The 9,226-nt window shown below is 56.7% G+C and overlaps 1 pseudogene across 1 annotated transcript, besides 3 other annotated features; it reads right to left on the bottom strand.

The window, feature by feature from the left end:
• Window positions 79-658: an enhancer, noted in NCBI's record as "H3K4me1 hESC enhancer chr9:94902296-94902875 (GRCh37/hg19 assembly coordinates)". NCBI's record gives its function as "activates a minimal SCP1, AML or CMV promoter by ChIP-STARR-seq in naive H9 embryonic stem cells {active_cell/tissue: H9 hESC(naive)}" and the evidence as "EXISTENCE:reporter gene assay evidence [ECO:0000049][PMID:30033119]".
• On the bottom strand, window positions 2,043-7,838 carry LOC100128076 (protein tyrosine phosphatase receptor type H pseudogene; annotated as a pseudogene). Its single transcript, NR_015444.1, is given in 13 exon segments — window positions 2,043-2,260; window positions 2,502-3,148; window positions 3,253-3,369; window positions 3,510-3,638; window positions 3,784-3,860; window positions 3,950-4,028; window positions 4,135-4,222; window positions 4,352-4,419; window positions 4,779-4,929; window positions 5,107-5,211; window positions 5,807-5,929; window positions 6,610-6,744; window positions 7,764-7,838. The product of NR_015444.1 is annotated as a protein tyrosine phosphatase receptor type H pseudogene (transcript).
• Window positions 6,138-6,769: an enhancer, noted in NCBI's record as "H3K27ac-H3K4me1 hESC enhancer chr9:94896185-94896816 (GRCh37/hg19 assembly coordinates)". NCBI's record gives its function as "activates a minimal SCP1, AML or CMV promoter by ChIP-STARR-seq in naive H9 embryonic stem cells {active_cell/tissue: H9 hESC(naive)}" and the evidence as "EXISTENCE:reporter gene assay evidence [ECO:0000049][PMID:30033119]".
• Window positions 6,294-6,533: an enhancer, noted in NCBI's record as "active region_28590". NCBI's record gives its function as "activates an Ori minimal core promoter by ATAC-STARR-seq in GM12878 lymphoblastoid cells {active_cell/tissue: GM12878}" and the evidence as "EXISTENCE:reporter gene assay evidence [ECO:0000049][PMID:35858748]".
• Window positions 7,839-9,226: the final 1,388 nt, after the last annotated feature.

Here is a 9,226-nt window from a genome sequence, read left to right as displayed (position 1 = left end):
CTTGACTCCAAAGAAACGGGTGTGGAGTTCCACTCGCTGAGTGCACCCTGGGTGGAAATGCACTCCTGCAGCCTCTGTCAGGTTTACTGTCAGGTTTACGGGGACCACCTTGATCCCTGCTCCCAGGACCTCGGCAGGCTGAGGGACTGCGTGCAGCTCAGCTGCTTGTCAAGAGGCCACCTCAAAGTAAGCAGATTGGCGCCACCTGGAGGCCGGGTGCTGCACCTGCAGCTCGGCCACCCTGAGGCTGGAATCCCACCAACTGGCTGACCTGGCCGGCCCCAGAGCCCTGGTGAGCAAAGGGCACGGTGGTTAAAACTGAGGCCAATCCCTGTTCTCTCCTTAGACCATAGTGAGCTGGCTGTGCTTCCTTCACGCAGCCTCTTGCTGTCTCTGGTCTCTCCCATGCTGAGCCAAGCCCCAGTGCAGAGCTAGAGCAGGCTGTGGGCACCCCTCCTTCCTTTTTTGCCCTGTCTCCCCATGGTCCAGCCAGAGGGTATACCAGAAACCTGGGACCTCAGAGGCATCCAGGATTTCTTCCACCCTGTCCTTCCACATGCCAGAATCCTCTCATCAACACCTCTCCACTCTCCGATAACCTCCCAGGGCTAGAGGGGCTGCATAGCCGGACCAAGAAATGAGCAGACCCTGACCCTAGGCCTCCCGTTGGTGCCATGGCGCTGAAAGTAGAAGATGAGCCTCCTAAGAAGGCTAGAGGATGGGCCTACATGACCAGAAAGACTCACAGATAGAGCCACCTTTGCCCTATGGCAGAAAGCTACCACAGGCCAGCCTGCACTTCCTTCACTCAACCATAGCCTTGGCTCCATCTCATTTGCAGCTCCTGCTGCTCCAATGTGAGATTTTCCCAGAGTGGAAAAGCCATGGTTGAGCCCTGTTGCAACCTCAGCAGCAGCTGCTTGAGACAGACTTGGGCAGCTCAGAGCAGAGCCTCCAGCCTGCTTTTGTGAGGGTCATTAGGGGGCCCACCCTCAGCTCCTGATAAACATGGCATATGGAGGACACCGGCATTTAGTCCTCCTGGGAGGGCACCAGTGCTTTAGTCTCGTTCTGGGAAAGCTCCCGGCTGAGCAGCCAGCACGACCTCTGTACCCTTCTTCAACCAGGCCTGAGAAGGACCCTCCTGACTTCTGACCCGTTGCACCTTAGTAGGAACTCAGGTTGGCCAAAGAGCTCTCCCCGCTTCCCCTTGGGGAGACCCGACTCCATTTCAGGGACTCTTGCTCTGATCTTTCCAGGCTTTCTCTGTGTCCTCCCAGGGCCTTCCACCAGGGGCAGTTAGTGTCCAGCATCAGGCACTGCACCTGGAAACTCCCAGCCTGACCAGGGAAGCAGGCAGGAGCTCATGTGGCCACCAGCAATCATGCACATGGTATGCAGTGCAGTCCTACAGTGTGTGGGACAGACAGCTGCCTCCCCACCCTCTTTTCTGGTCTCTGCTGCTCCTCCTGGTTTTTCCTTTCTCCATATGCCTTCCCTGCTTTCTCCCCCACCTCTTATGTAGAGGGGAGGAAGAAGGAGACAGAGAAGGAGCAGGGAAAACTTGGCACCTCCGCCTGAGGGGTGCCTCCAGCACCTGCCTTCCGAGTAACAGGGTAGCTCTGGCACCTCCATCCTGGTGGGGGCTGAGGGTGGCCCCTGGGGGCTCTGGCAGGTAGAGAAGGCTGGGGATGGCAGGAGAAGGGAAGTGGGAAACAGGATAAACCCTACTGCATACAGCATGGTGCGTACAGGGTGATGAGGCAGAGGACAAACAATTTGGAGCTGTGATTCTGAATCCAGGGCTTAGCACCACAGGAAACTAGACGTGGAGAGACCAAAGTCTGAGGAAATTTAGAAACTGGAGGATTAGCAGGGAGAGGATTGCTTCAGGGGAAAAACCAACAGCATAGGGGCCATAGGTCACCAAGTTCAACCAGACTCCAGGTCCTAGCTTCCATCCCGGCTCCATGTTTGCCCACGAGACCCACACGCTGGGCCCAGGCCTGAGGATGGACAGACAGAACACACTGAGCTTCAGGCTTGGCCACAGGTCTTTATTCCAAGACCCTGTACCTTCCCAGCACAGGGCCCAGTGGAGGCCGCCCTTCCAGGGAGCCCAGGCCCACGTGGATGTGTCAGGAATGCTGTCCCCATCCCACAGGGCACAAACCTCTCCTGCACCGTGACCAGTGCTGACTCAGGGCAGCCCGTCTGCCAGCGCGCTGTTCAGACAGTTGTAGAGGTAGACATACTGCTTCTGGAGATGGACATAGGGTTAGGAGGCTCGCCCCGCCTGCCCCAATCTAACAGAAAAAGGCTCCCTTGTGTCCCCCAACCCCTAGGGCTCCATCTGGGAGAACGCACAGCGGTCCACAGCGCCACCTGGTGGCTACCCGGGTGGTGCTGCCTAGAGGCCTGGGCAGAAGCTCCCTCATCCCCCCGCCCCTTCCCACAGCTGAGCCCCCACGCCAGCCCGGTCGCCCCTGGTCGCCTCTCACCAGTGTTGGGGTCATAAGGCCACAGGCCTGAGACTGCTGCAGGGCCACGTTAAAGATATCCACGGTGCACTCAGACCCTGCCTGCTGCAGCAGCTGCTCCATGGCCAGGAAGGTGCCCAGCTGGGTTGCACCCTTGCTGCAACTGACCTAGAGGTGGATGAGGTACCTAAAGGGGGTGTGGCGGGGGTGTCCACGGATGTGGGAAAACCCAACCTGGGCGCAGGGACTGAGAAGGGACACCGGACACTTGGTCAGCCGGCCAGCCTGGACCTAGGGAGGGAGGCGGTAAATTCCCACCATATTCCTGAGGACAGGGTAGGGTGTGGAGAAGACAGGGGCATTGTGAGACTGTGTCCTTTTGACCCATAACCCAAGCAGAGCCCAGGGAGATCTGAGGCTATGCCAGAAGGGCAGGGAGGGGCTTCCAGTGTCCGCTCCCCCAAGACCATTGTCCACTCCCCCAAGACCATTGTCCAACAACACTTGGAGTGGCTGAGCAGTGTGCCCGGCTTCTTGTTGTTGCCCCGAGAGCAGCACTGGCCCACAGCAGCCAGGAAGGGCAGCAGGGTGGTGGCGGGCAGCTCATGCCCAGGCTCCAGGTATGGAAATTGCAGTCTCTGCACCTCCCTTTCCTTCCTGCTCTCCCCCTGTGGCAAAGACATGATCAGCATTGGTGCTGGAGAGGGCAGAGGAAGCCCACACAGGACTCTTCCCCATGCACCACCCCATGCCCTGTGGCCCCAGCACCTACATGTGTGACCCTGAGGAGGGTACAGAACCAGCCTGCTGTGCTGCTCTCAGCCACCCAGTGCACCGTCACCATGTCTGTGACTACGGGCTGCATCTCCGTTGGCCAGAATTCCTATGGCTGGGACCAAGTTAGGGCTGCTCAGGCAACTTCCTGAGATCTCTGCCCCTGCCCTGGTCACAGACAGCACCACAAACTACCCGCCTCCATCCTCACCCCTAACTCCTGAGCCTCCCTTCCTCTGTCCTCTGCTCTGTCACCTTCTCCATGACATTGGGTGGGCAAAGAGAGACAAGCACATGAGCCCTGTGCTGCCACACCAGCTCCCAGAGCTCCTTTGGCCCTGCGGGGCCAGTCAGCACCGTATGATCACGGCCAGAGGGCCCACCCTGCAGAGCACAGATCATTGGCTTCCAGAGACTGAAGGTGCCCCCTGCCCAGTCCACAACTCTGGGAGCCCCCAGCAGCCCCAGCCCGGGAAGTACAGGTGGTCAGAGAGGGCAGGAAACAGTGGCAAAACCAGCATCATCTCACAGGGAAGAGCCAGGCTTCGGGCATGTCGTCAGGGGGGCTCTCCTCCACCGGAGAAAACTGCCCCTGAGAACGGTCATCTGAGGGAAGACAGTGAGGGTGAAGCTGCCAGAGGTCCCCAGCCCACGCTGGCCCCCTGCCCCTCCACAGGGTCCACAGTGAGACTCACAGGAGACGGGGCTGTCCTGCTCATAGCCAGGCGGGGGTGCGGAAAAGCCAGCCTCGTCCTTGATGGCCTACAGCAAGAGCTGGGAAGGAGATGGGTGCCCTGAGGCTGGGAGGTCTCACTGCAGGGTTGGCTCAGCAGCGGAAGGCTGCCCTTGGCTGTCACCCACTTCCCGGCCTGAAGTGTACCTCGTACTCCTTCAAGAAGCCAGCATTGGCACTGGCTGCCCTCTTGGCACACGCCTGCGGGAGGTCCGTCACAGAGATGGGCCAAGACCTGGTGGGGGGGTTGGAGAGGGAGAAGGCACTCAAGGTTCCCCAGCTCCCCGTTCTAGTCCGCTCAGCTCTGCCCACGAACAGGAGCAGGGAGCCTGCCTGTGGGAGGCACAGGGAAGCTGGGACTTACTCAGAGATGTTGAAGGGTCCTTCCAGAATCTTGTTCAGTAGGCAGCTGTGCAGGAAGACGTACTGGCTCTGCCAGGGGAAAAGGCATCAGGCTGCTCAGCGAGGAGCGAGGGGGGCCTGCAGGGAGATTTTTCAGGCCCTGACCAGCAAGGCAGGGATCAGGTAGGAGGGCAGAGGGAGCCACTGAGAAACCTTCCCTCCACCGTCCCATGGTGTCAAAGCTGACAGGATCCTGTCCCACCTCCCCTTTCACAGAATAGAAAGCACAGCCCAGGTAGGATGGTGATGTGTCTGAAACCCTCTCCCCAAGGTCTTCTGTGTGCCCCATGAGCTCTCTTTCCTGGTCCCTCCTGTAGCCCTGTGGCCACCCACCTCCCTCCCACTCCTTCAGGGTCCCAGCTGCCCAGCCCAGCCTGCAGGGCCCTCACCAGGGTCTGGATCATGAGGGGCTGGTGCATCCGGAGTGCATACACAGCATGGAACACGTCTACCATCTGCTCCTCCTCCAGCTGCTGCAGCAGCCTCGACAGGGCCACGAAGGTGCCTGTCCGGCCCATGCCCACACCGCAGGGACAGCCCCTGAGGAGCTGAATGGGTGAAGAGGCTGCCCATGTCCCCAGCTCTCCCCACAGTCCAAGAGCCCTCCATGCCCCCAGGCCAGGCAGGGGGCTCTCCACCCTATGCACTCACCTGCTGTCACCTGCAGTGCACCAGGATGGGTCCCACGCCCTGGGTGGCCCTTGCCTGCTACTGTACCAGCTCCATAAAGGCGAGCAGGGAGCTGGGAGCCTCAAGGATGCTGTGGTCGGATCAGGTGGTGAACTGCAGTTGCTCCACCCTCCGTTGATGTTGCTGGACAACCTAAGAAGGGGGTGGGAAGGGGACAAGGGGGCAGAGGGGCCCTGCTGCTGCTCCTTATCTTCCTAACTCCAGGTTCCCATGGCCCAGATCTCACACTTTCTTCCCCAGCTGCCTAAGGGCAGGGATGATGCAGACCAACTGTTCCTTGAGGGTGGCAGCTATGTCTCCCCCATCAGGATGCTTCCTGAGCCCTCAGGTCCTTCTCTAGCCTCCTGGGTAACCTCTGCATATAGAGGGTGCCTGGGCAGAGAAGTGATTCGGGTCTCTGGCTTTCCTGCCCCAGGGGTGCACAATCTGGGAAGGAAGATGGGCACAGGGGGCATGGGGTGAGGCAAGAGCCCTGAGCTGGCATGGGGGAGGTCAGGAACCATCATGTCTCTCCTGTTCTTCCTTTCCCTCACTGTGCAGCCTCAGATAAACCCTTAATCTTCTCTGTGCCTCTCTACCCCTTCCCTAACACACTCTTCCCTGGGTGGTGACTGAGTACTTGTGGTCCTCCGAAAGAGAGGGCTCCAGGGACCCAGGAAGTGAGGCAACCTTCTCAGGGGTCTCAGCTCTAATGCCTGTCCCATCCCCTCATCCTTGGGGCACGCACGTGCTGCAGCTGGAATTCCCGCTTGGTCCACTCATCCTCAGGCTCCTCAGCTAGGAGGTGGATGGTGATGTGACCATGGGTGTCCGGGGTAGAGTCGGTCAGCCAGTAATGCTCACACAGCACCTGGGACCAGAAGGTTGGAGAGGGGAAGGGCGGCTGTGGGCCCAGCCCTATCACTGCCGCCCCCTGCTTTACTCAGTCCCACCCCTCCCTGCCCACCTTTCTGGTCCCTGCCACCCTGCTGGGATTCTGCTCTCTGTAATGACCCAGCTCCAAGGCTTCCTCCTCCAGGAGCTGCTCTCCCTTGCCTGGGCTCCGGCACCCTTGCCCTCAGACCTCTCATGACTCTCAGGATTCTGAGTCAGCCACAAGGTTCCTGTGCCAAACAGAACAGCCCTTATTCCGCGGCCAGCGGCCCTGGGCTCACTGCTCCAGCAAGAGGACAGACTCGGCAGCCTCTCTGCATGTCCTAGGGCCCTGCATCTGCCAGGCTTATCGAAAGGAAGGATCCCTGATGGTACCTTTGACACCGGCCCTGGGCAGTCCCTACCCCTTGATGCCTTCTCTGCCCAGGGCAAGAAGCCCGTAGAAACAAAGCCAAGCTGGGAGTTTACATACCTGTTTCCTCCCACTGCCTCCCCATCCCAGGTCTGGGTGGGAGGTGGGTCCACTACCCTCCAGGCCTGATTGGCCTCACTCCAGTCTGCCCCGCCTTCCCACGGGAAGATGCCAACGGGGCCATCCCCACAAGGAGAACGTGCGCCACCTGGTGGCCTTTCTAGGAGCCTGCAAGGCGCACTCACCCTCCCGTTCTCCATGCTGATGGTCGGCATGATGATGATGCGGACCTGCTGCTCCCGCACCAGCCGCCAGAAGTTCTCCAGTGTTTTCTTGAGAGGCCCCTGAGAGGCAATGAACTCCTGTGGGCGGGTGTAGCCCTGGGGTGTAGGAGGCAGAGATCAGGAACATGGTTAACGGGCAATGCTTGGTGTCAAGCACACAGCAGATTTCCAACATTTGACCTCCAGGAGTGAGGATGCTGTGCACACACCTACATGTGTGCACACACAAGAACACGTGTGCACCCAGAATGCAAACCAGAAGGGCTGACTTCAGAGACATCACCCCCGTCCCTGTCCCACCCCAAAGGGACAAGAAAAACCCCAATGAAAACAAGATACTGACATGAGTTAAATAGCCCATCTAGGCCACCCTCTTCACCCACCCAGAGTTACCTTCCTAAAACCAAACTGCGTTTCTTCCATGCTCAAAAATCTTCTATGGCTCCCAATTGCCCACCAAATAGAGTCCAAAGCCCTCAGCCTAACAATCAAGCCCTCCTTCATTCAGCCCATTCAGCCCCAGGCTATCTTTCCCATTACATCTCCCACCACCCAGCACCTCCCCACTCCCTCACCCCTACGCACCCCCCACCACACACACACACACACACACACACACACACACACACACACACACTCTCACACACTGCCTGAACGTTACTGCCTGGCTGTTCTCTGGCTGCTTCTTCCAGTCAACAGAATGTCCTTCCCTCTTTCATCACTTATCAAAATGTTACTCATCCTTCAATAAATCAAATGTCCCCTCCTCTGGGAAGCCTTTCTTGATTCCTCAGGTGGATGAAATTTCCCCTTCCTCCATGTGCCCTGAGTAGTGTTTTTTCCTCTATTACAGCCCTTGTCACAGTGTGTGGTGAATGTCACACACATGCCTACATGCTCCTTTGAAGGTGGGGAATGTGGCTAACAGCTCTGCCTCCTGCAGGCCCAGCACAGAGCCCAGCACACAGTAGACCCTTGCTAGACACCTGCTGGATTGAGCTCATGAAGCCCAAGCTGGTGATCTCCTAGAGAGCTGTTACAGCTAATGAAGGCAAGTGTGGCCTGCAAACCAGCCCATCTCCCGAGCAGATCCCAGATCCCATGGACAGCCTCACCGGTGGCCCTTACTGGGACCAAGTTGGCATTGATGTAGTCAGAATGAGGCTCTCCCTCCAGCTGGGTCAGCCTGACCCTGGAGTGGTCATCTGCAGAGAGTGAAAGCTGTGCATTCAGGGTTGGGCACATGAAGCCCCCTGCTCCCATGCCAAGCCCTAGCCCTCTGCCATGCCTCCTTTCCTGCCCCCAGCACTCACAGGGTAGCACATGTGGTTAACAGTTCTTGGTGGTGTTGGCAGGGTACTCAGCCTCCAGTCTGGGCTGCTCCTTGCTCACCTCCTTCAGCTCCTGCAGGGATCAAGGGCAGGCACTGGTTGCTGAAGTAGACCGATCTCACCCCATGCCAGGAAAGGGGCAGTGGGGGCAAGTGTGCAACTGGGAGTTCCCTCCAGACCTTCAGACAGGTCCCAGTCTTCCCTCCTCTGAGCTCACGGGTGGTAAAGGCCTCACCTCGAATTTCAAAAAGAAAGCCTGGTGCGCATGAGCACTCTTGGCCTCATAGTTCTGCCTGAGGCCACAACGACCACAGGCTTATGTAACAACACTCAATCCCATTTCAATTACTGAAAGCCTTCTCAAAAAGGATGGATACAAACACTCCAGACTACAAAGATTGAAATAAATACCTAACTCTTCAATGCTCAGATATCATTGAACATCCACAAGAATCAAGAGCATCCAGGAAAACATGATCTCACCAAATGGACTAAATAAGGCACCAGTGACCAATTCTGGAGTGATTAAATTATATGACCACTCAGACAGAGAATTCAAAATACCCATCTTGAGGAAGCCCAACAACTTCAAGATAACACAGACTAGGAATTCAGAATTCTATCAGATTAATTTAATGAAGAATTAACATTTAAAAATCAAGCAGAGGCCAGGCACAGTGGTGCACGCCTGTAATCCCATCACTTTGGGAGGCTAAGGTGGGCGGATTACTTGAGGTCAGGAGTTCCACACCAGCCTGGCCAACATGGGGTTTAGTAGAAACCCTATCTCTACTAAAAATACAAAAAATTAGCTGGGTGTGGTGGTGCATGCCTGTAGTCCCAGCTACTCAGAATGCTGAGACAGGAGAATTGCTTGAACCTGGGAGGCAGAGGTTGAAGTGAGCTGAGATTGCACCATTGCACGCCAGCCTGGGCAACAGAGTGAGAATCTAGCAGAAATTCTGGGGCTTAGAAACTCAATTGACAATCTGAAAAATGAATCATAATCTCTCAACAGTAGAATTGATCAAGTGGCAGAATGAATCAGTAGATTAAAAGACAGGTTATATGAAAGCACACAGTCCAAGGAGAAAAAAGCAAAAATAAATAAAAGAGAAGGAAGCACTATTACAAGATCTAGAAAATAAACTCAAAAGGGCAAGTCTAGTAACTACTGGTCTTAAATAGGACGTAGATGGAGAGACTGGGGTAGAAAGTTTATTCAAATAAACAATAACAGAGAACCT

Source organism: Homo sapiens, chromosome 9 (genome assembly GCF_000001405.40).
Source record: "Homo sapiens chromosome 9, GRCh38.p14 Primary Assembly".
In the NCBI taxonomy this organism is placed as follows: Eukaryota; Metazoa; Chordata; class Mammalia; order Primates; family Hominidae; genus Homo; species Homo sapiens.
Note: the sequence above shows the minus strand (reverse complement) of the source record. Positions and strands in the feature narration are given on the sequence as shown.